Below are 24,606 nucleotides of genomic sequence, written 5' to 3' on the forward strand. Positions count from 1 at the left end.
AATACCCAATAAACAGGCTATTCACAGGAAATTTAAATGTCCAATCAATATTTGCAAAGAGGTACTAGCTCATTAATTAGGAAAATGAAAACAAGACATTGTTTCAAGTTTAGTATTGCCAAATATTATCTTGAAATTCCCGTTTCTGCAGATCTTCAACTCCTATCAGGATGTTACCATTTCACAACTATCAGATTGGAAGTTGCTTTCCACATAGATAATTGACATTTATACTTCTCCAGTATGCACCATATGACCCAGTGTGTTTGACATCATTGGTGTTTATCAATACACTGGTTCTCTTGTTTTTCCTATGTGCAAAGATGGTGGTGCTGAATAGCCCTGTTAGGTTCTGTGAGCAGTTCTGGGCAGCTGGTTGTGAGTGGCATGCTGTGTGTTGTTTCTCACCGGTGCAATATCCTCTCCTCGTACTCCTCTCCTGTCTCAGTGATGGAGACACCCGAGTGATCCCGAGGGGCAGCTACAAGATGGGGCCCTCCATCAGCCTAGGTCCCTAACAGACTGTGGGGAGCTGAGCCCCTTATTGACCCATGGCGGACATGTAGCATGAATGAGAAATAAACATTTCTTTGGTTGAACAACTAGAATTGCCAAATAAATGAGTGCCAACCTCAAAAAGTCCCATGTGAACAGTTTCTCTAGGGTACAGACTTAGAAATAGAACTGCCAGGCATTAATACAGAACCTGGCACAGAATTGGCATTGCCTAAATGTGGGAGAGTGAAGTCTAGCCTAGCTTACCCTAGTTTCAGATATATAGAAAATAAAATCCAATGCTTCCCATCAAGGAGCTCAGAGAAGGATATAAATATTCACAATACAGCACAACTCCCCTTCTGCGCTGTTCAGTAGAGCAGCCACTAGGCATGTGAATGCTTGGAATGTGGCCAGGGTGGCTGAGGAACTACAATTTTAAAATTGAAGCAGTGTAAAATATCTTTCCATTAAAAACTTCAGGGTTTTGGTAGGGTTACTTTTGATTACAATAACTGAAAATTTAGCATTAAACTTGAAACATGCTGTATATATAAAATACATACCAGATTTCTGAAACTTGTTTTTTTTTGAAAAAGTGTGTAATGTCGCAGTAAATATTTTGCTGATTGAAGATAATATTCTAGACGTATTGGGACAAATTAAATATTTAATTTCATCTGATCTTTTTACTCTCTTAAAATGTGGCTAAAAATTGGCTTACACTACGTTTCTATTGGACAGCACTACCCTAGACTAAGTCTAGATCCTTAGCATGGCATCTCATCCCAGCAGTCTGATGGATGTGCAAACCTTAAAAAGCAACTCACACTGAGTGTAGCTGTGGCAACAAAAGACTCTACATATTACAAAGCAAAGGGCTTTGCAGATACCAGGGGCTATCAAGGTGCTCCTGCCAAAACACTATCCTACACATTACTTCATTTATCCTGTCACTTATTAACAAAATATAGGCCAGGTGCCATGGCTGACACCTGTAATCCCAGCACTTTGGGAGGCCAAGGTGGGCCAGTCACCTGAGGTTGGGAGTTTGAGACCAGCCTGATCAACATGGAGAAACCCCGTCTCTACTAAAAACACAAAATTAGCTGGGCATGGTGGCGCATGCCTGTAATCCCAGCTACTCAGGAGGCTGAGGCAGGAGAATCGCTTGAACCCAGGACGCAGAGGTTGCGGTGAGCCGAGATCGCGCCATTGTACTCCAGCCTGAGCAACAAGAGTGAAACTCCGTCTCAAAAACAAACAAAAAAATATAGTGATTGGAGGGCCTTCAAAATCAAGGTTAGAACACACAAATACTCAACACAGTTCTGCCCCTACTCCCTCATTTTGTTAGAAATGTATTCATTTCATGACATGTACCTACAAGTTAAGCTATTTTCTAAATGATGTGATAAATGAAGGCTCATAACATTTGAAATGAAAGGGCACCATGTAAACCTGGCCAATCAGGTGTTATTAATTTTCCTGAGCTTCAGTTTTAATATGTTTTCTATTACACAGTATACATTAGTGACAGCCACTTCCTAGCTTTACATGCTTGAAGTCAGTTTCCACCCATGTTTCCTATTTGACTCATCACACTACAGCTACCAGGTCCCTGGTACTCCATGCATAATACAGAGCCCCTTCAGTTTCCTCCTGCCTTATTTGACCTCCACTCTCCCCTAAATAACTACTGCCAAAGGTGACAATTAACGATCCTATAGGATTCAAAGATGACTCATTTTTTAACTCAAAATAAACTGAACAAATTGGTGAACTTAAGCAACTCACCTCCCTTTTCCTCAGATCTGCCAGTATTTGTCACAAGTCCAATTCTCTTCCTTTCCCTTATGACTCCTTGGGCCCTGGGAGTGAGATGAGGAAATTAAGTGCCTCTTTAAATATCCTCATACTCTTGCAACCCAAATATATGTGGACTCGGGTGCAAGAGATCATTTGGAGAGATGACATCAATAGTGCAAGTACACGTGGTCCAGGGGCTCATCACTGACTGGGAACTCTTCTACCCAAGACATGGAAGGCAGGTTAAAGGCCCACATACATTCTCTGCTGAGGCCCCTAACCATGGCAGGAAAATTGCCACTGCTGTCCAAACCAGCACCTCTTGTGAATCTGCAAGCAAAACAAAACAAAAACATAACCTGGCCTCATATTAGGGTCTGCAAGGTTAACCATCCCATCATTGCATCTAATTCAAAACATACCCTGGTAGAATTCAAAACACCTGTTACGTAGAATGACGCCTTGCCTTTGACTCAGAAATGTATAATACAAATAGGCTATGTAATAAAGTCACCTGCATAACGTTTGAAATCAAAGGGCAAAGAAAATTTTTGTTGCTTTATTTAACAAAATTTATGCCAACTCCTGTATCTATATACAAACATGTTTCAAAACCAGAGCAGCAGACACACAAACTGTTAACACAGGAATTACAATAATGCTTAAAACATGTTACACAATGTTTTGTTTCTGCTCATATAGACATTTACAGATTTAAAAATTATTCCAAAGGCCGAGCAACATCACATCTTCAACTTCTGAGATGGATTATATATAACATGTCCTAAAGAAAAAGGGATGGAGCTTGTGAGAAAATATATTTTGTTCAGTCTAGTTCAACAGACAGCAGGTGGCCCTTAATGAAGGCTTACAAGATGTTCTCGACTGGGGATACAAAATTGAATATAATATAGTCTATCAGAGTATACTTTGGGTCAGGTTTTTTTTTTTTAACTTTTACTGTATTTGCCTATATCCTAAATATAACAATCTCTCACTTCTGGTCCACCAAAGTAAGAAAACCTACTTTAAAAAATAAGTTGAAAATGATTTTATTGGCAGTATTAACAAAATGTAGTGATTGGAGGTCCTTCAAAATTAAGAACCCACACAAATACTCAACACAGGTCTGCCCCTACTCCCTTGTATTGTTAGAAATGTGTTTATTTCATAACATGTACCTACAGGTTAAGCTATCTTCTAAAGCTCTTTAGGGAGGACAGCTACTTTTTGCTTTCCCATTTTTGACTTCCAGAAACACTTTTAATTCCTTAAAAAGTATTCTAGTTCTGAAAATCCTAAAAAGCTTTGCTACATATTCTACTCACACAATTAAGCTCCATCAAAGTATGCAAGTTGTGTTTTTACTTATGCTTGAAAGTTGATGCTGCGAAGTGAAAATACTTCATGTTGACAGTTAACACTCTGACCTGATTCAAGGCCAATTCTCAGTCCAGCTTTTCAGGAAAAAGCACTATGTGGTGAGGAATAGGAGATAAAAAAGTGGCAAACAAAACAAAACAAAAAAAAACCACAGCCTTTTCTTCACTCCTCTCCTCTCTATATCTTGGGAGCTATTTTTCATGCCACAGGAGTACAATATATAACATGGATAAAACTTCGAATGCTCTACGTAGTGAAGTGGTACCAAAGATCTACTTCCTAAAAAGCACCAAATAAAAATGCAGTAATAAAATGATCCAAAGGGGTTTCTACTCACTTGTTCACATAAACCAGACCCCATCATTCCTGTGCTTTCATTTTCCAAAAGTGAGATTAGACCCTTATAAAAATGTACTTCCAAAATAAATTTCTAGAATATAAAAACGTTCTACATTTTTCCAGCCCATGTATCATTATAAAATAGGAAATCAGAAAATTAGCTACTGCAATTTTCATATGGTAAAAAATATTTTTATGTGTACACATACACATATATAAAAATGCAAGTTTTAAATTTCAATAAAAATTTACCAATTAACTTGATGATCATGTATTGAATTATACAAAAGAAATGTTGATTATCTGTAATGAGAACAAACTGCAAAGGATTGCAATTCCATCTACTGGAATCTAAGACTTTCCCATGTGAAAAAAAAAAAAAAAAATCAAAGTCTCCAATCGACTACCCAATAAACAATCACTGGTGTCTTTTTCAGGTGCAACAACTCTTTAGTTTCATTCACTGCACCCCACAAATCGCCTAAGACAGGAATAGCCCCTGGAGGGAGGGAAATGCAAGTTGGGGCTGCCTCGGGGTTGTGCCATCTGTGCTCTACCTGGAAGGTCAGCGCCCAGCTGCACAGGCAAGTGAAGACTAGAATCCTGTCTTAAGCACTGACCCAGCCACCTATCTGCCCAAGAGGCTGTGCTTGTGCAGGGGGTGGGCCTTTTTCTAAAGAACACAAATGTGTAGATAAATGACAGTCCTGACATCTGTTGGTAGAGAGGGGAGTGGAAGGAGTGTTCCTGGAGTTGCTTCCCTGAGAAAGCTGAGCAGCAGGGTAAGCATGAATGTGGTTAAGACAAATTAGAAACAGCGTTACTATCAATGAAAACTAGGGATCGTGTTCCTGTAACTTTAGCAAAAACAGTGGGAGGTCTCCATTTTGTTGATTCCTGCCATTTTCTAGTAATCGCATGAGGGAAAACCTTAAGGGGTCTCAAAGGCACAGAAAGGAAGAAACAGTGGGCAAGGAAGTTGTGCTAGTCCACAGGAGGGCCGGTTCAGAAGAAATGGCAAAGGGAGTCTAGTGTCCATGAATCAAAGGGATCAAGAAGAGAGAAGACAGCATCCACCCATGGTCTTTGGATGAATCCCAAATGAAAACTAAAGGGCATATGAAACCCTTTTCACAACTTTATGAGCCTACCTTGAACTGTGTTTGCGAGTTTTACCTATGTTGTAAGCCTGTTCCCTAGCATTTTAAATTGGTCACTTATGTTTCTGGGAGTGGTAAGGGCAAAGAGAAAATAGTTTTAGATATTTTCCTTTTGTAATCTCTTTTTGTCTTTGCAAAAAGGTACGTTCCCTTCCCATATGTCATAAACCAATGTATTTTAAAGAAAGCAAAAGCTAAGTATTTGAAAATGTTATCTTTCTTCTAACACTTGCTGTGAAAGGAGTAAATTCAGGCAAGCAGTTGAAAACATTCTTTAAAATGGCCAGTAAAAGCAAAACTCTTTGTGCTATACGGAACACTCGGGAGTATTACAAAACCAGGGAGGGAGTAAAAGAATGGCCATTTCTCTATAACCAAATTGAAGACAGTAAAGTAGAAAATATAATTTCCATTGTGCACCAAATACTCAGAACACAAATTAAAGCAAAAACAAAATGGATGTGCACACCAAAACAAAGGTTTTTCTGTAGCATTTATATGAAGAGCATGTGTAAAACATTCTCAATCTGCCCCTCTGAATGGATTATGAAAGATCAGTATGTACTCAGAAAACGGGGTGCTAAACAAAGAAAAGTCTCAGATCCCACTGAAAATCTGTTCAGTTTCACAGGCTCTCTCCAGAAAAATGCATATGTACCAATTTGCATGTACAATTTCAGAGCCTTCAAATACATTCTGGGGTCCAATCACATACTTCAGGTTCAGACTCCTAGCTCCCAATATTCCTACAGTTCTGAAGAATTAGCAGTCCTCTCATTTCTACAGTCTGTATTTCTTCTACTGAATCTTGGTGGAGGGACTCCAAACCAGAATAAACTAAAAGATAACTTGCTTTAAAGAGTAACTGTTTACTTATTTGCCCTTGGAGGAAAGAACATCCCAATCTCTAGTTGCTTCTATCAAATGCCGTTGGCCATGACTCATCCACTCTTCCTGGTCTTCATACAGTCGCCCACAAAACCAGCACTTAAATACACACTGTGAAGAATCATCAGGCAAGGAATCCACTACCTGGTAGTTGTTTTTATGAACTTTTTTGAGTTTCATTTTCAACATCATTTGCCTTTTAATTTGACTGGCTTCTTCCGCATTCTGGTAGGTCAGGCGTACATGATGCCGTCTGATGCCTAGCTGACACCTAGTCCTCTCTGATAAAACAACTTTGAGGACATTGCCTTTGTATTTATTTATTACCTTCATCACATTGGTCACTTCTGGCGAGTCCACATCAGGGTGGTTTAACACAATGACTGGCTGGTTCCGACGGGGACACTTAATCAACTGATCTGGCTTAGCTGCTATCAGTCTTAGTTGCCTTGCAACCTGAAAAATTGAAGGATCCTTGAGACAGCGGCTAGGTTCAGCTTGAATTTTGTTTTTCTTCCTGGATAAGTGTACTTGTTTGGTTTTATTTCTACTTATAGAAAGACTTCTGGAAAGCAGTCTCCCTTGCTTATTTAATTCACTGCTTCCTTGCTGTCCATACAAGAGGCCAGTTTTTCTATGGATGGTGCTACAGACAGCACTCTCTTTTCTCAGTTTAGGCCGCAGAGGTGTCTCGATATTTGGGGACATATCTATTGGCCCCCTTTCACTTCTTAAAGGCTGTAAGTCTGAGTCCGCCTGTCTCACAGGGCAAAATGGAACTGGTTTTATTAACTGTCTTTCACTGCAAGGTATGCTGACAGGTGCTTCACATGTAGCCTCTATGATGTGGGCATTCTCAGAGGAATTAAGAACCCTCAACACAGCCCCTTTGGGGATTAACACTGGCGTGGCAACATGAGCCTTCCTGGCCACTCTGCTTTTGGTTTTCCTATTACTGCCATCTGCAAAGTGTGGATATATTTGTTGATGAGTAAGCTGTCTATTACCAGTAATACCACCATCATTCGGAGGTTTCTGAAGAGTACCTGTGGAATGGCCAAGACCAGTGAGTGACACGTTGATTTCTTGAATACCTTCAGAGGTAGCTTTTGAAGTTCCCTTTGATGCCTGCCCTACAGAGCGACGATGTGCACTATTTGAAGCCAAAGATGACGGCTTCCCACAGGACTCAATTAACTGAGCTATCTTTCTGCGCAACAGTTCAATTGACTTTATTTTAGACGTTGAGCTATTCCACTTAATGCCCTCGGGGACATTTTCAGATCCAGAGCTCAGAGAAAATACTGATGAGATGACTGGGCCATCATTAGTGTTGTTAGTCCTTTCAGAATTCTTTAATTCCAAAGGCTTATCCCCAGGCTGTTGAGATCTATCTTCTCCAGTTATGTTTATATGTAAATACTCACTCTTATGTTGAGAGGAAATCTGGCCTACAGTTGAAACTGCCTTGTGTTCCTCTGTCTGGTTATCTTCCTGCTTCCTATTAGAGGAAACCACTTTTACAGGAATATTGACTTTACTTGTAGATTCCAAGTCATTTTCACTTACAGGCAATAAGCCCTTTTCTCCAGAGAAGGAACAGGTTGCAGGTGATGCAGCAAATGGGAGTAACTGCTGTGAGCTACTGTGTAAATTTCTTCCACTTTCAGCAAAACAAACAGCAGCTTTATATGGAAAAGGGTTTGATGCAGCTCCAAGACTACGTAAAACACTGTTTTTAAATACAGATGCTAGAGAATGACCTTTTAAGGCAACGGAAGGAAAAGCAGTTCTATGTGGATACAAATTATTTTTTTTCTGAAAATCCTCAATTGTTTCCGAATTAATGAAGGATTTTCCATTGTTGTGCACACTAGAATTTGGCATAATAAAATCATAAGACCTTACCCATTTCACATTTTTAAGCTGTTTCTGAACTGAAGGTTGAAAACTATCAATGCCTACGAGTTTTCCAACATTCCCGTCAACTGTCAGTGACTTTGTTTTTTCTGCAGAAAGTACTTTTTCTTGTTCATTTGAACCCTTCTCTTTCACCATACGTTCAGAATTACCTCCATTATCCCTCCCAGCTTCAAGGCAATTATTTTCTTCCAGCGGAAACAGTTTCAGAACAAGCTGCTGTGTACCATTGACAACCTTCACATCTATCAACTGGGCTAAACAGTTTGCAGGGACAACTAGTTCTGCTGGTGCAACAACTGTCAATGGCATACCTGGCTGAACAGGTTCTTTTGCAGGGGATAACACTTCTACTTCAACATTTTTGTTCTCAAATAGGTTGACTTCATTTGGCTCAGACAGGGTCATTTTATTTGGAATACAAACTACATCTTTTTGGTATTCCTTTGGTTCAGGTAACAACATGATATTGTGCATTTTGTCTTTATTTGCATGGAGAGAGAAACCTGACAGTTGGTCTGACCACTTATTTTGAAATGTAGTCCGTGGATTGGAAGCTTTTAGAAGCTCTGGGTTTTGTTTTGAAGTTCCGGTTCTTTTTGGCTCCAGCTTGGCAACAGCTTTGACTGGCCGTTTCGCACCTGCCCTTTCATGTACTCTCTTCGTGTGTTTGACAATATAATCATTTCTAATAGCACCATAGTCACAATACTCACACTGATAAGGAAATATGCCTGTGTGTTTCACCAAATGCCTCTGAAACTCTCCTTTCGTATACGAAATGTAGCTGCAGTGAGAACAAATGAATTTAATCTCCTCGTGTTGAAGGGTGTGCTTTTTGTACTGCAGCGGGTCCTTTGTAGAGAATCGACATTTATCACAATAGTATTTGCCTGGCTTAAAGTTCCTTACCTTAAATTTGCTATTGACAGAACTTGAGAAGTTTTCAGTTTTATTTCCAACATGAGTCGCACTGGAATTATTGCTCACAAAATGAAAATTGGGAGGAGCTGCACCGAGGCTGCACTGGAAGCAGACATACATACCGTCCTTCCCTGTACCCTTCTGCAAATCTTGAAGAGAGATCTTGTGAACACTTTTGCACTTTGCACATGTAGCAATGGTCATCATGGCAGCCTCTGCCTCTGAGCCTTGATACAAAAGGGTTTGTGCTTCTTGTCTATTTGGCCGAGGTGCTCCATTAGCATCAGGCTGTTTGGGTGACATGGTCAAGGAATTATGTCCGCCGTTCAAGTGTGTAGTGTATAGCTGCTGTCCAATATCCTTCATCTTATCTGCATTTCTAAAAAGAGCCAACTAAAATTCAGAAAGTTTTCACATGATAAAATCCTTAGGAGATATCCTTCTATACAGTTTGTGATGGGTAGGGGCGCAGCTACTTCTTGGGTGCATACTTAATTATCTTTCTTTATATACTGCCGCAGTAGGTGCATGATCCCAAAATATGACTGCTTTCAGCTCTCTGACATTCCAGGTAACACTAAAGGAAAACAAAATTATAAAGCATGATTAATATAAGAGTTTGGCTAAGCTATTAACAAACTTATCCTATATTTTAATGGCCTTGGACATTTTATGGTAAATCTCAACGTATGATTTTAGACGCATGTTATAACAATAACACAACAGAGTTGGCAAGTAAGCCTAAATTGAAAACATTTTCAAACTCAGCCCCCTATAAATGACCACTTTAGCCAAATCATGAATGAACACAGATATACCAGGAACAAGGACATCATAGCAGCCATTCAGGACAGCCTTTGGTCAGGGAAAGTCATTTTCAAGTGTCAGTGAGCACATCTTTCATAGGTATAATTTCATATTACCTTCACAAAAATGTTATACAGGACACTGTCAGTTCAATTTTTGAACAAGTTAGTTATCAAGTGGTAGAGCTAGGGCTTTGGCCTGGGGTGTTCACATTTGTTTCTACATTATAGCTTATTATCAGCTTGAATACCAACTCTCTCACTTACATGCTTAATTTGCCTTCATGAGTGCTAAGAAGCCCATAATACTGACAATGTTAGCAAGCCTGCTGCAGCATCTTATTGGGAATCTACTATGTGCTGGGCATTATTCAAAAGTGCTGTAAGGTAGTGAATGAAAGCAAATCAGTCCCTCTCCTGGTGATGCACACACTGCACAGGGGGAAACAGATTACATATTTGCCAATGGTGGTAAGATACTTGGGAAAAAAGCAAGGCCAACAGGACAGGGAAGACCACGGTGATGAGGTTGCGGGGCTGGGTGTGGAGGTGAGGAGAGTCAGGAGAGGCCTCATGCTAAGTTCATGTCTGAGCAGAGACCTGGGGGCAACCACAGTGAGCATTGTGGCTGCTGGAAAAGGGGTGTTTCAAGCACAGAAAAGGCAATGATCTGTGGGAAGTGGGCCTGCTGCTCATGAGGAACAGCAAGGAGAATGGGGAACGGGACATGTTCTAGGAAAGACAATAACCCAGTATTGTACGGACATGGCAGAGGAGAGGCTGGAGCAGAAAGGAGATCACGGATGGCCTGGCCTGGGACACAAGAGGTGACGAAGGTTTTCTAGAGCAAGTAAGCACTCCAATATACACAGAGTGACCTTTTTTTTTTTTTTTTTTTGAGACAGTGTTTCACTCTTGTTGCCCAGGCTGGAGTGCAATGGTGCAATCTTGGCTCACTGCAACCTCTGCCTCCAGGGTTCAAGCAATTCTCCTGCCTCAGCCTCCCGAGTAGCTGGGATTACAGGTTTGCACCACCATGCCCAGCTAATTTTGTATTTTTAGTAGAGACAGGGTTTCTCCATGTTGGCCAGGCTGGTCTTTAACCCCTGACCTCAGGTGATCTGCCTGCCTCAGCCTCCCAAAGTGCTGGGATTACAGGCGTGAGCCACCGCACCTGGCCACAGTGACTCTTTTATACAATCTTTAAAGACACTTATTTTCCCAGAATATGGCAAACTAGGAGCATAACAAAATCCATTCTAGTTTGGAATCTGCTAAAAGCCTTTCTTTCATGACTTAAGAAAGTCACTTAGATCTTCTGAACCTCAGTTTTTCATCTAGCAACTAGAATTAGGAACAATTATCCAATTCCTCCCAGAGCCGCCATGATGATTAGAATGCTAGAGTATAAGAACACTAGAGTATAAGAGAAGACTTTTGAAATTTTTGAGTCCTTCTCCAAGTGTCAAGAGGCACCCAGAGGGACTCAGTCAGTGTTTGTTCAATGACAATGATGGGTGGCAACACAGGTAGCTTCCTTCTGGCACAATGCTAACAGGCCAAGAGCCATATAAAGGTAGTCTGAAAGACCGACGTCGGGGAGTTTAAAAAAGCCCCTCCACAGGGGCTCAAGAGATGCAACAGTAACGCACTCAGATCTGGTGTAAAACCTGCCCTTTGGAAAGCACCAAAATAACACATCATATCTGATGACAAGCTGTATTTTCTTTGGCAGTGTCGTCTTTTCCTACTCTACTTTTGCGAAAGATAGTCACCTTCTTCAAAAGCAATTTCCAGCATGAAATCAAGCCCTCAGTCAGACTTGCTCTATCTTAAGTATGCATACAACACTTAGACATCAAGCAGATGGAGGCCTGCAGGGTTGCAGTGGGGGGCTGGAGAAACATCTGTCCCCTCAATGTTCAAACACATACCTGTGTAAGGGGACCATGATTTTGCACAGGACACATGAATGCCTCAAGCTGGCAAACAATACATGGGCAAAGATAAGGCCTTTTACATTACACTGCATTTCTGGAAGAGACAACACAACTTTCAGAGGAGTCATTATGAGAAGCTGGCACACACTTAAATTTCCAAATTTGCAGAGGCTTTAGTGAAGGAAGACAGAAGTAACTCCCAGGATTTCTGCTGCTCATCAAGTGACCTCAAGCAAGAACTTACCTGCATCTCTATTATCTATTAAAAAAAGGCCCATGACTTCTATGCCCAGTCCGACACTGCTGATCCTCGAAATCACACACTTTATCATCTAAAGAATGCTACCATCATCAATATAGTCATGTCAACATTGTTATCCAGATAAAACGGAAAAGCTGCAGCAGCAGCCAGAACCCAAGAAAACCAAAGCCTAAGGAATGAAAAGGCTTAAGACTGGTGATAAGGGGGATCTGGTCCAGCGTTCTCAACTTGGAAAAGCCTCAGAATCAGAGCAAAAATGGACAATTTCCCAGGCTTCATCTCAAAGCGAGTGAATCTAAGTCTCAGGAGAGAAGAAAGGAAAGGAGATTTTTGTGGCTTGTAAAGGCACCCTAGGTAATCCTGATGAAAAGCCAGCATTCCAAATTACTGGCTGAAGCTTCTGAGAATATTTAAATCCTTAAAACATCTTCTCCAATTGACCATGCAGCTGATAGTTTAATATCGCCATAAACAAAAAACCACTTCCCTCTATAGGCAGCCAATTTTATATTCACATAGTTCTCATTACCAACAATTTACCCTTAAATGAAACAGAAATCAGCTTTCCTATAAATTTCCTTGTTCTGCCTTGACTCTGGAGCAACAAAAATAAACTTAATTCCTCTTGGTCAACCAGTTACCAATCTGCACCTCTCTCATCCTCAGTTCTCAATTCTCTTCCAAAGATTTGCATATAAGTTGATATCTGTTTATGCTCTGATCTACCAGTCTTGTAATACTAGTGTGTGAGAAAGAAACCTGCCTGCCACAATTTGCTTACCAACTATTTGAACATAACACCCTCTATATTAGCCCTAAGAAATTCTCAACTAAGTCATGTGACAAGATTCCTCTATTTGAACAATCATCCAAACCAGGATTCCACTGGCTCATTTTCAGTGTTTCAGCCTCTTGCTCAGCCCCCAGGAGTCTTCAAAAATCCCAGAAGGCACTTTTGCCATTTTTCTCTCTAAGTCCTTTCAAAAGTTGGGGGCGGGAAGGTATCATTTATTCTAAAACTAAATACTTGAAAATCTGAGACAGACTGGGCAGTAAGATCACGTCCATCAGCAAGGAATGGAGAGCATCCCAGCCAAGGAAAGTCCCCAGAGAATACACAAGCCAGCCAGAACGCATGAGGAAGGCAGAGTCTTGGAGAGGCCTCTGCAAAACTTTCTCAGCAGTTATTTTGAATTAAGAATCCATAGGAGCAAGTGCCAATATGAAGCATGCAGCCATGATTATTAGCAAATGCAGTGTGATGGGGAAGGCAGGACATCTGGGCCATAAATGAATTATGTCACCTGTTTGAAAGTATCTTCTTGGCTTCTGAACTATGCTCAAGATAATGCAATGTTACTACATTGCCACATCCCTCTGTGCAAGTGAAAAAGATGTGAGGTTTCTTCATAACAAGTAGATGGGAGTTCTCTTTGGCCTTTGTAACCTGTGTCTAGTAACAGAGGGAAATGCATCTCAGATGTAATACTCCAAGACAAGGTAAATGGACACAGCCACATGGAAGAATGAAGATGGTTCTGATGTTGGTATTTACACGTGGACACTCCTGAGGGACAGCAGGCATATCTGTGTAAAAGCCTCTCAGCCCGTCCCTTCCACACAACGTCCTCCATGGTTCACATCCAAGTATACACACCTGTGAAGCTGAGTCCTCTTGGCAAGTTATGACTCTCTGGATGGATGACCAAGGAGTACAAAAAGACACCGGAGACAAAGCTGTGCATGGGTATGCTGGCACTGAAAGGGTACTCAATAAATTACTATTAACAGCAGGGTCAGTGTTTGCCTACCGTGCAAACTCTCAACATCTGTTGCAAAAGCCTCTGCATTTGGCGTCTTAGGACTTTCAGATAGCTTAGGAAAGGTCTCGAAAACACAGAAAAGAATACCATTAATTTTATGGTGCAATAAATAAGATGTCCATTTATTAATCTGCCTGTTTTCAAAAAATTATTTAGCAACATACAGTGAGTTTTCTAATGTAGAATAAGGTACAGCATGAGCCAAAGATGACTGCCACGCACCAAAGGCAAGAGGCACGGTGTGTCACAGATGTGCTCTCTGGACTGAGTCTTATCTTTCTTCAAAAGAAAGACCTGGAAATAGCCCTGAATGCATTCACTGTTGGTGGGTTTTCTTTTGATTTTGAGCTCACTTGCCCTGTTTTCTTAAAGACTTATTATGGGGACATAAAAACAAACAAAGTATCGAGTTTGGGAGAATCCACATCAGTGACATTGAGGGCTATAAAAAAACATAAAAGACTGTGTAAGTTCCTATTAAAAACGAAGCATTTGACTTCTAAATACTGGAAACATCTAATGCTCAATAAAATTTGAAGAGAAGTAAGTGGTAACATAGTGTTTAAAGGTAGAGATTCTGGAATCAGATTATAAAGTTTAAAATCCCAGCTCTATCACTTTCTAGATATACAACCTGGGTATACCCACTGTTTTGATTCCTTACCTGTAAAATGAGATAGAAACAGTACCTACCTACCCCACAGAGTTACTGTGAGGATTAAATGACTGACATATCATAACCTGTTAAAAATATTATTTTCCATTTTTTAATTTAAAAAAATACCAATCACATAGTCAGAGGGGCTAAAATACAGTTTTCTTAGCTGCCTAATTAACTGCTGTATTCAGAACATGCCCTGAATCTCACTTTATATTTTATTTGTTTGGTTATACCGCCCGAAAGATAATTTACCTCTGTGGCAAAACCACCCACCTAGCTTTAGTGCAAAGGGGCTAACAGCCATTTATAATTACCATAGAAAAGATGCTCCACTTACAAGAGTACTCACTACAATTTAGGTTTATATATAAACTAGTTACGAAACTACCTTTTCCTCACCCACTTCTCTCAAAGTTCAGCCAAATTGTGAAATATCCCTGTAGCAAATGAATGTGTTTCTGTGATAAATGTTAATGTGAAAAGGAAAGGTGGGTGGCCAATTATATCGCATACATGCTACATGGACCACCACATACATTTCTGTTCAGGAGATGCCCAGCAAGCTCAGTGTTAGTTGACTGTGACTGCATCGTTTTTGGATGTAGAAGCAAACTTAAGCAGCTCTTTTCAGGAATGCTGACCCCAAAGTCCGCCTTTGAATGTGGCTCTACCATACTCATTGCTGGGGCAGGGTATAGCTGCTGTACCCATGAAGATCACATGAAATGGAGTGGCAGGGTTTACAGTTCCAACTCTGATCCTGTCCCTCATTTGCAGGGTCCTTCAGCAAATAATTTTTCTCTGTGCATTGCCAAGCAAGGAATAATGCTTTACCGTAAGCAAACTTAAAGGGCGATCAGGAGATGCAAACTAGATAATGTATGCAAAGCATTAAGCCCAATGGCATAACCACTTACAAATTATATCTATATTCCTTCTGTCTCTTTCACCATAGCAAAGGCTTGTCTAGCTTTCCCAGTAACCAAATTTTTAAAACAATTCTACCCCAAAGTGCCCAGTGAACAATTAAAATCAATCAGGAAAAAAAAATCAACATTAGACATCAACTGCCAAAATTTCCCCAGTAGGATGATATTGAGGAAGAAACTGTTGCCTCAGAAACAGCTTTCTAAGACCATTAATATGAATGTGTGATGGGGAAGGCAGGACATCTGGGCCATAACTGAATTATGTCAGCTGTTTGAAAGCATCTTCTTGGCTTCTAAACTATGCTCAAAATAATGCAATGTTATTACATTGCATTATACTACAAAATGCTGGGTAAACAGATTTAAAAGAGGAAAAAAATCCATTAAGTGTCATAATCTTTTTGCCAAACTACCTTGCACTGAGATGACTGAATTGCAAATTGACTGCCATCCTGATGACGAAAAATACTTCCAAATGCTGCCGACAAATGTACCCATGCTTGGGATCCTAGATTTCCATCTGAAACCAAGTGTACTGCTTGGGCAGCAGAATGGACCAAGACAGCTGCAGGAGACAGCCTGATTCCTCTGCTTTTCCAGGTGAAAGCAGCTGAGTGTAACACAGTAGAGAATAATGACCTTGGGACAAGAAGAACAAGGTTCAAAACCTAGGTGTTTGGTTTACTAGCACATGATTTCAAACTTGTTAACCTATCTGAGCCTGAATGTTCTCACTTATAAAATGTGAATATTTCTCATTTATACAGCTGATGTGAGGACAAATGAGAAAAGGGTGTATGCAAGTGGGAGGTAACTTTATGCTTGGCAAAGAGTAGATGTTTCGTTAAGAAATCAGTCAATATATTTTTTTAAGATGGCTTCACAGGTAGAAGAGTCCAGTAATGTCCAGAGAAGCAGACACTGGTTAGCTTAACAAATGAATCTGATGAGGCAAAGGTCTGTATCAACATGAGTTCATTAGTCGGCAGGAAGTGAGGGTCTTCTCCCCACCCTGTCTACAGGGAGTATTTTGGAGATTGACTTGACACTGCTGTGCACATCAACTGAGTCTACATCAGGAAACAAAGGAAGTGATATTATAGGCTTTTTCTTAACATTTTAAGAAAAAAATATTTGTAAAAAAGAATTTAGAGTGCTTGATGTCTAAAACTTTGTATGTGAAAAAAAAATGTGAAAGAGCAAATATGCTCTTGTTAAGCATTAAAAATACATATATGGTAAAAATAAGGTAGTATCACACGGCATATTACAAAATTTTATGTCATGAAGCACATCAAATGACTCCGGGTCTCTGAAGGTGCTAAAAATGAGACGTATATTTTCACATTTCTTTTTTGCCTTAAAAATTTGCAGAAAGAAATGGATTCAGAGTTTAATAAAACAGTATAATCAAGCACAGAAAAAATATCTCCCATTAAACCAGTAGTTCTTAACCTTGGTTGCATTAGGGCAATTGGCCTGTCATGTGCCCGGGATATTATTTTTTAAAGGAGGTCCCTGGGACAGCTGGTCACCCCACTGCACACCAGAATTACTTGGAAGCTTCAAAAATAATGATGTCCCCCACCACCCGCAAGACTCCACTGTAACTGGGGAAGAGGTGGGGATACTGGGATCTTTAAAAGCTTCCCAGGTGATTCTCATATGCAGCTATGCAGCCAAGGCTGCAAACCACCTGATACTACAGGTGCAGGTGCACTTGGGAATGGCAATAGTAATATCGACATCCTTGTACAAGATTTTATATTCTTGTGGGTGCCTGGAGGTGGGGTGAGGCCACCACCCCTGGGCTGTCATGGGGCAAACAGACAAGCAGACTCAGGGTTCCACCCTTGCCTAGCCCTGTGACCTTGGAAACACCAATGATGCTCTCTGTAAGATGTATAATGAGGTATCTACTTTGTAGATTCTTAGAAATTTGAATGTTCCTGGCACAGTGCCTGGCATAGTGTGAGTACAATGAGCACTGCCCAGGACTGTTTTATCCCCACACCTGCTGTGGGCTGCTGTTTTTAAGGAGTCTAACAGAAGATGGAGATAAGTAAATGGGTATGATAAGTAGAGTAGTGAATGTTCTATCAATGATCTGATCAGAGTGCTCTCCCAGAGGCTGGCTGCTTGTCAATCACGGAGCACCTTGGCCCAAGTCAGATGGAAAGAGTGCCTGCATGAGCAGGTTCCTATGTTACCTCGAAACTTCTCAAAGCCAGCCTTCAGTTATCTGCTTCTTCCCTGATTAACAGGTCTGGAGAAGCTATATGGCTTTTTGAAGATCACAGAGTTGGTGAACAGCTGCAACTGGGTCCAATCTTACATTCTTTGTTTTCTGCTACCCTGCTGTGTGAAGCTGTGAAATGAAGCCATAGTCAGTATCTGCTGCCACTTGAGCACTGTTCTTACTTCCTGCCTGTAGCCTTGGAGTTGCAGATGTAAGTCAAAACCGTGGCAAGTCCCATGGGCTCTTCCTTCTCTTTCAGGCCTTCTCTTCTCAGGCGTGGACTGCCATGAGTTTCACAACCTCAGGCCCTGGTGTAGGCTTCTACATCAGAACCCTGGGCGTCAGCAAGGCGCTGCACAAAGAGGCCTGCAACAGAAGCCAAACACTTGGGTTTAAGTCCTGGACCGGCACAGCCTTGGTTTCTCAGAGTGTTGAAGATAAGGGGAATGAGCCCCAGAAGTGGTTCTCAAGCAGGGGTGTATGGCAAAGTCACCCACGGAACTTAAAAAGGATTCCCAGGACTCACATGCAACCTAGCAGATCAGGTTACCATTTCCTAGGGTGGGGCTCAGGCATATGGTTTAAAATTCTCCCTAGTTGATTTTGATGCCTCCCCACCCTCACCCTATGATGACAATGTTTAGACTGGCTGATCTGTAGCTGCTTTCACTCCAAGGATGAATCCTGGAAATTGCAGTTAGCTGAGTTTGCATAACAAAGAAAATGCAGTAGACAGCAGGCAGTTTGAGAACAATCATGATTGGGGAAACCCTCCCTGGTAAGGATCTTGTTTATCATGATCAATAGCGAAGGGTTTGGCCAAGGAAGGCACTCAATAAGGTTCGTACTGGTTGAAAGAATGAGTGAATGAATGAATGAAAGAGCAGGCTTCACAGAGACAAAAATAAAATGTTCTTTGTTCTTCCTTTTGCACAAAAACTGGCCCCGATGCCCTTACTTAAAGGCAAATAAATCTCTAGAGATCTAAATGGATTTTTTTAATTGCCATTTTGCATTTTTAAGATCTTCAGATCGGGTATAATACATCAGAAAGGAGTCCCAATAAATAAAGGAATGCCATCCTTTGTCTGCTCTTTTCAAATTGCATTTGCAATGAATGTTATCAGCATAGCAAACTGTCTACGCAAAAAAGTGTTATTTTTGAAGGCTAAATTTGATCCAAGATGAAAGTAACTTTTAAAAATTGCATCCTAGTTAAAGATATCAATATCACACAATTTTAAAAAAGAACTATTTGTATTCTACTCAAAGAGACAACAGTATATAACATTGGTTTCTAAAACAATATTTTCTGAACCCTTGGCTGTGTACTGACATCATATGCTGGGCTGAACTTTGCATATGTGACTCAAGAGAGAGAAAAGAGATGTATTCCCATCCTCAGTCTCTGCTCTACTGTAGAAGAGTACTGCAAGCTTCTAGAGACCCAGGTTTGTCTTAATTCTTGGTGATTTCAAGTCTAAACTTAAGATGGTTTAAAGAGTCTAACACAACATTAGAGTTTAGCTACGTAGATTTGTACTTTTAAATAGGACATAATGCTCTGTAGTTTTTTTTTTTAATGTTACGTTGATAAATCGTTCATTATTACAATTTTTAAAGTCAGAGGTATTGTAACGGGATACATTAACTACCCAACTTATAAAGACTTAAGTGTTTTCTCCCGTTCGCTCTTTTGGCTTTTCCTTTCTGGTTAAGAAACTTTCATTCTTTTGAACCCTGCAATTTCTTGGCTTTACAGAGCCCCAAACCCCAAAGACACCAAGATAAGACGGGCAGGCCGGTATGGGGAGGTCCCACAATGACATCAGCATTTGGAACAATTCAAACCTTCACCATCTCTTCTCAACCTCCTATGTCCTCGCCCCCCGTAAAAGATGCGCAGGACCTCGATGGACGAGCCCACCCCTGACCCTCTCAAGGAAAGACAATGCCAGGCTGGTTTTCGAGTTTATTGTCGGCACGCTCCCCCGATGGCAGGCAGCATCCGAGGCGAGCGCGCCTGAGCCTGGGCGCTCGGAGGACGAGGCCAGGTGCATCGGGCGCATCGTCGTCTCCCAGGCGCGTCCCGCTCGCCGCGAGGGAAGGCCGGGGTTCTTCCAACCGAAGAAAACCAAAACCGTCAACGCTCAGCTCCGAGGCCCGCAGGAGGCTTTAAAAATGGCCTCCTGACGACACTTCCTGCTCGGCGCGGACGGTAGGAGCCCTCGGAGGAGGCATCCTTCATAACGCTGGGGGCGGGGAGCGCAGGCCGGGCCAGCGGCGCCACACGAACGGCCCCGCGGGACGCTGCCACCCCCGCCTCGGTCGCCCCGGCGCGTCGGCCGAGTCCGCGGGGTCGCGGCGCACAAAGGCGAGCTGGGGGCGCCGGGCCGGACCCCGACCCTAGGCCAGGCCCGCGTACCTGCTCAACGCGCGCCAAGCCGCGGCCCGGGCCCCCACCCCAGCCGGTGCCCCACGCCCACCAGCCGGAGCCCGCGTTCGGCCTACCCGGTGCCACTTGCCACGACGCCAGCCCTCAGCGCGGGCACGCGGGGCCGCGGCCGCTCGACCCGCCCCGGCCTGGCCCCGTCAGGCCCCCGCCCCGCGCGCCCCCACGACCCGGCCGCAGCTGGCGCTTCGGTCACGTACACGCGGATCCGGGGGCCCTCGCCCTCCCGCTCAGCTACTTACCCGGCAGGCCGGATTCGGGTGCCAGGTCCCGGCGAAGGGGCGTCTACACCGCCGGCCGCAGACCGCCGGCGCCGCGCCCGCTGTAGGTCCCTACCCGGGGGGCGGAGCCCGCGCCAGCCCCGCGCGTGCGCAATGTGAAGCGGCGGCGCGGCTCCAGCGAGGCCGGCGCCTGAGGTCTCTAAGGCTGCGCCCGCCCCCGCCGGGCTTCTAAGCTGTCCAGAGCGGGGAGCCTCAGACCCAGCCGAGCCCCACTTCTGGGCTTAGAGCTTGACCCAACACGTTCGCACCGTAGCGAGCGAGGTCCACATTTAGCCATGCCGCAGGCAAAAGAAGGATTCGGCTTCGGTCCTGGCCCAGTCTGCCATCCCGGGGCGCCTGCCTTGTACCGGGTCCCGCGGAGGGCGGCCTTGGCGCCTGCCTCCCTGGAGCCTGCAGTCCTGCAGTGGGTGAGTGAAAGCGAGAGAAGAGGAGCTCAGGTCCTCAGCCTCCAAACTCGTCTTCTTGGAGAGCTTCAGTGAAGGAGATGGCCTTGAAGTCCTGGGTACAAATCCTGACTCTCCCTACTCCTTTACATCTTAGCTGCTGGACCTTGGCGAGAAAGTCCCCTGACCTCTCTCAGTGTCTTCATTTCTGAAGACGGGGAAGGTCGTATGTGAGGCGCAAAGCCTCCTCTAGCAGTTGGGCGTTGCGAGGGTCAGAGGGGACAATGACTGTGGGAGTCTGGAGAGGGTGTGAGCTCATTTAATGCCAGAGTTTCTTTCCTGCCTCCTGGACTTCGGTGCTATTTTGGGCGAGCCAACTGCCCTCTAGATACACCTGCATCTACGGTCCGGAAGGAAGACATATTTAGAATAGAGCCTCTAAGAGGAAAGAAGAAGACCATATTGCCAGGTCCCGCACAATCAGTGACTCCCCACAAAGTGAAACAGCTCTCCAGCAGGGGCAGGTTGAGGCATGGGAGCAGCGTCACTGGGAAGTACAGTTTCTTCGGGATGAACAGCTAAAGTTTATTTCAAAGCTCTGGAGGCGGGGGCGGGGCAAGGCTGGTTTCCATCACCTTCCTGTTGGCGGCCAAAGGTCGGCGTGCACGGACAGCGGCCAGTATGCTGCACGGAGGAGATGTGGGCCTGGGCAGTACTGCCACACGGAGAAGCGGAGTTGAAGAAGACAGGCTCAGCCACAAGTCCAGCAGCTGGGCAAAACCTCCACCACTAAAGTATCAGGAGCTGGGCAGAGAAAATAGCAGCCCAGAGAGCAAATCCTTCTTCCTGCCCTAGGCTGCAGTGCTCCTAACCTCGGTCCTGATCAGGGAGCTGCTAGGGTCCTGGTTTTCTATCTCCTAGGGCTCAGAAAAGCTAAGGAACCTCTTCTCAGAAAAACACATTTATGTGCAGATAGCACCTATCAGAGAGAATATGCCAGAGAGTTCAAAGTCTCCCTCAAGAGTAGGGTCAAGTTGGGAAAGGCATTGAGAATCCAAACTAGGAGCCACTGCCTGAAAATCTCTAGTGGCAAACAGAGCCACATCAGGAAAAACTATTAATTCTAAGTATTGGAGAATCTGAGGTCTAGACATTAGAAAATTGTCCTAAACTTTATAAGGAGAGGCAACTCTCCTTATAACTTCTACTCATGCATCACAGTTCTGCCCTCTTAAGTCACACAGAATTGATGTAAGGTACCTGTGGGTCTCCTGGGAGTTTTTCTGAAGTGAGAACTGGTTATAAATCCCAGTTCGGCCACATAGAAGTTGTGAGCCTGTCTGAACCTCAGTTTCTCATGTAAAATTCAGTGAAAAATAGGTCCTTCCTCCCAAGGGGGTTGTCAACATTAAACAAGAGAAAGCAAGTCAGGACTTATCACAGTCCCTGGCAGATAGAAGTGACTGTTAACTTACTCTTCAGTAGCCCAAATTCAGGGAGATGAAATGCTTTGTGGAGTGTCTGGAAATGGAGTGTTTACAGCCTGAAAAAGGGTCAAGGAAAAATAGAAACTACTTCAGCAGAAACCTTTAAGGCTGATGTCCCTAAAAGTCTTTTGATGCTTGCAAATGTGAATCATCACACGTTCCCTACACGTCTGCCCTTCATGTCTTCTTCTCCACCCCCCAGCTTAGTTTGCCTAAATTCCGTGGATCACTTCTGTCACGAGTTGAATTATGTTTCCCAGAAAAATACGTTGAAGCGCTAATATCCCCCACCCCCAACTTATGGATATGACCTTATTTGGAAACACGGTCTTTACAGATGTAAGACAAGGTCATTAGGGTGGGCCCTTATCCAATGTGAATGGTGTCCTTACAAGGGACACCATTCTGTGTCTCTGTGAAGAGACGCAGAGAAGAAAATGCCATGAGAAGACATGGAGACACACAGGGAGAAGAAGCCATGGACAGAGGCCGAGATTGGAGTACACAGCCACAAACCAACGGCTGTTGGAAGATGGAAAAGGCAGGGAGGATCCTCCCCTAGAGGGTTCAGAGGGAGCATGGCCCTGTGGACCCCTTGATTTCAGACTTCTGAGCCGACAGAACTGTGAGACAATACATGTTTGTTTGGTACAGCCACCCTAAGAAATCAATGCACCCTCCTAGTTATGACTACCTAATGTAGGAGAGAAGAAGGAAGACATGAACCAGTCCTTGAGTATAAGATTTGGGAGCCAACGTTCATTCATTCACTCATGCATTCAACAAAACATGTATTGGGCTGGGCGCAGTAGCTCATGCCTGTAATCCTAGCACTTTGGGAGGCCGAGGCGGGCAGATCACCTGAGGTCAGGAGTTCAAGAACAGCCTGGCCAACATGGTGAAGCCCCGCCTCTACTAAAAATACAAAAATTAACTGGGCGTGGTGGCGGGCGCCTGTAATCCCAGCTACTCAGGAGGCTGAGGCACGAGAATTGCTTGAACCCAAGAGACGGAGGGTGTAGTGAGCCAAGAACGAGCCACTGCACTCCAGCATGGGCAACAGGGCAAGACTCTGTCTCAAAAAAAAAAAAAAAAAAACCAAAAAAAAAAAAACCGACCATGTATGAATGCCCATTCAGTGCAGGCACAGGCTGGTGCTGAGGCTAGAGGAATGACGAACAGGGTAAGGCTCAGCCCTCAGGGAACATTCATTTCTGGACCACGAGCCTTACAAATGCAATGACGGGGACTTGGGAGATGAGCTGTAAGCCACGAGTAGGAAGCTGCCACAAGAAGATGGAGAACAGGGGAGAGGAGAGCATGTACAAAGGCCCTGAGGTGGGCGCTTTTGAGGAAGAAAAGGAAAGGCAGTGTGGATTTAGATCATTCTAGGCGTCTACAGACTCTGATCTTAGAGAGCCCTTCATCAAATTCTGCCAGTGGGGAGCTTGGGGCTCAGAGGAAGGCCTCCACGAGCTTTCCATGATCATCCTTTCTCTTGCTCTGAACTTCCTTCCATGCTTCATTACCCACTTTTATATTCTCTCTGGCCTCTACCGCTCCCGAATATTATATGACTTGACAAAAACAGCACTGTCCATTGGAAAAGGGCCAGGTCTTTAACACCCAGGTCAGAGCACAGACATGTCAATCTCAGACACTTCAAAACTTTATGCATGGACAGGAGATCCCAGAAAGTGGCTTTTTTTTCTTCTAAAACATTTCAGAAGTTTTTAGTAACTTCCTTGAGCCACAGTTTGCACATCTGTAAAGGAGGGATAAAGGCCCCCCAAGCTCTGATAAGACAACCCCGGTTCTCAAGCTTACCTCGCCTCACAGTCCTGGGGTGCAGGAGGTTAAGGATGTAGAGCCCGAATCCCGAACTCATTTGCCATCCTTCCAGCTGTGTGGCCTTGGCCAAGTTACTGCCAGTCTCTGAGACGTTTTCTCAACTGCAAAACAGGAGTAACTGGAGCAACCTTTCGTGGAGGGTGCCAGGCGCTGGAGCGTGGCTAAGGCAGGGACCACGTCCCAGCCGCCCTTTCCCGCCCTGCGGCGCAGGCCCACTCTCTTGGCTCTCCTGGCCCGCACACTCAGCTCGGCCGCCGCGGCTGCCGCGGAAGCGCGCAGTGAGGCTAGTGGGGCCACGAGCGGCGCGCTGAGCATGCGCGCCCGATAGAGCCTCGAGATGCGCCGGGCCGCGCTGCGCTGCAGTACCGCCCGCGGCCTGCAGTGTCGCTGCGAGCCCGGCTGGCCCAGCTCGGCGTGTAGAGCTCTACCCCGCGCGGCGGGCGGTGCAGCCCCGCGCTCACCTGGGCGTCTTCGCTCCCGCTCGCCCCGCGCTTCCGAAAATCGGGAATGTAATGTTTTGTTTTTACATTCCAATTTGCTCCCTCCCCAGGCTGGCGTGGAATCCGAGGGTTCC

The 24,606-nt window shown here is 43.9% G+C and overlaps 1 protein-coding gene across 6 annotated transcripts, besides 6 other annotated features; it reads right to left on the minus strand.

Annotated features, from left to right (window-relative positions):
• Positions 1-2,835: 2,835 nt before the first annotated feature.
• ZNF518B (zinc finger protein 518B) lies at positions 2,836-24,321 on the minus strand. Of its 6 annotated transcripts, XM_024454264.2 has the most exons (4): positions 20,273-20,382; positions 17,550-17,944; positions 13,584-16,409; positions 2,836-9,495 (listed from the first exon to the last, which is right to left on the minus strand). In XM_024454264.2, the coding sequence occupies exon 4, from the start codon at positions 9,282-9,284 to the stop codon at positions 6,060-6,062; it is 3,225 nt and encodes a 1,074-aa protein (XP_024310032.1). In that variant the 5' UTR covers positions 9,285-9,495; positions 13,584-16,409; positions 17,550-17,944; positions 20,273-20,382; the 3' UTR covers positions 2,836-6,059. The 6 variants fall into 6 exon arrangements, with proteins under 6 accessions (XP_024310032.1, NP_444270.2, NP_001362745.1 ...); NM_053042.3 differs by lacking the exon at positions 13,584-16,409 and having other exon boundaries at positions 17,761-17,944; NM_001375816.1 differs by lacking the exon at positions 13,584-16,409.
• Positions 19,448-19,507: an enhancer, noted in NCBI's record as "active region_21312". NCBI's record gives its function as "activates an Ori minimal core promoter by ATAC-STARR-seq in GM12878 lymphoblastoid cells {active_cell/tissue: GM12878}" and the evidence as "EXISTENCE:reporter gene assay evidence [ECO:0000049][PMID:35858748]".
• Positions 19,490-20,305: an enhancer, noted in NCBI's record as "H3K27ac-H3K4me1 hESC enhancer chr4:10458158-10458973 (GRCh37/hg19 assembly coordinates)". NCBI's record gives its function as "activates a minimal SCP1, AML or CMV promoter by ChIP-STARR-seq in naive H9 embryonic stem cells {active_cell/tissue: H9 hESC(naive)}" and the evidence as "EXISTENCE:reporter gene assay evidence [ECO:0000049][PMID:30033119]".
• Positions 19,490-20,497: a biological region, named in NCBI's record as "H3K27ac-H3K4me1 hESC enhancer GRCh37_chr4:10458158-10458973".
• Positions 19,568-19,727: an enhancer, noted in NCBI's record as "active region_21313". NCBI's record gives its function as "activates an Ori minimal core promoter by ATAC-STARR-seq in GM12878 lymphoblastoid cells {active_cell/tissue: GM12878}" and the evidence as "EXISTENCE:reporter gene assay evidence [ECO:0000049][PMID:35858748]".
• Positions 19,858-20,497: a silencer, noted in NCBI's record as "silent region_15280". NCBI's record gives its function as "represses an Ori minimal core promoter by ATAC-STARR-seq in GM12878 lymphoblastoid cells {active_cell/tissue: GM12878}" and the evidence as "EXISTENCE:reporter gene assay evidence [ECO:0000049][PMID:35858748]".
• Positions 24,308-24,477: a silencer, noted in NCBI's record as "silent region_15281". NCBI's record gives its function as "represses an Ori minimal core promoter by ATAC-STARR-seq in GM12878 lymphoblastoid cells {active_cell/tissue: GM12878}" and the evidence as "EXISTENCE:reporter gene assay evidence [ECO:0000049][PMID:35858748]".

The sequence above is a fragment of the Homo sapiens genome, chromosome 4 (genome assembly GCF_000001405.40).
Source record: "Homo sapiens chromosome 4, GRCh38.p14 Primary Assembly".
NCBI classification, from domain to species: domain Eukaryota; kingdom Metazoa; phylum Chordata; class Mammalia; order Primates; family Hominidae; genus Homo; species Homo sapiens.

What these genes read in the sequence shown, in the direction of transcription:
- ZNF518B (XM_047416333.1), bottom strand. Translation starts at nt 9,284, where the DNA reads ATGAAGGATATTGGACAGCAGCTATACACTACACACTTGAACGGCGGA.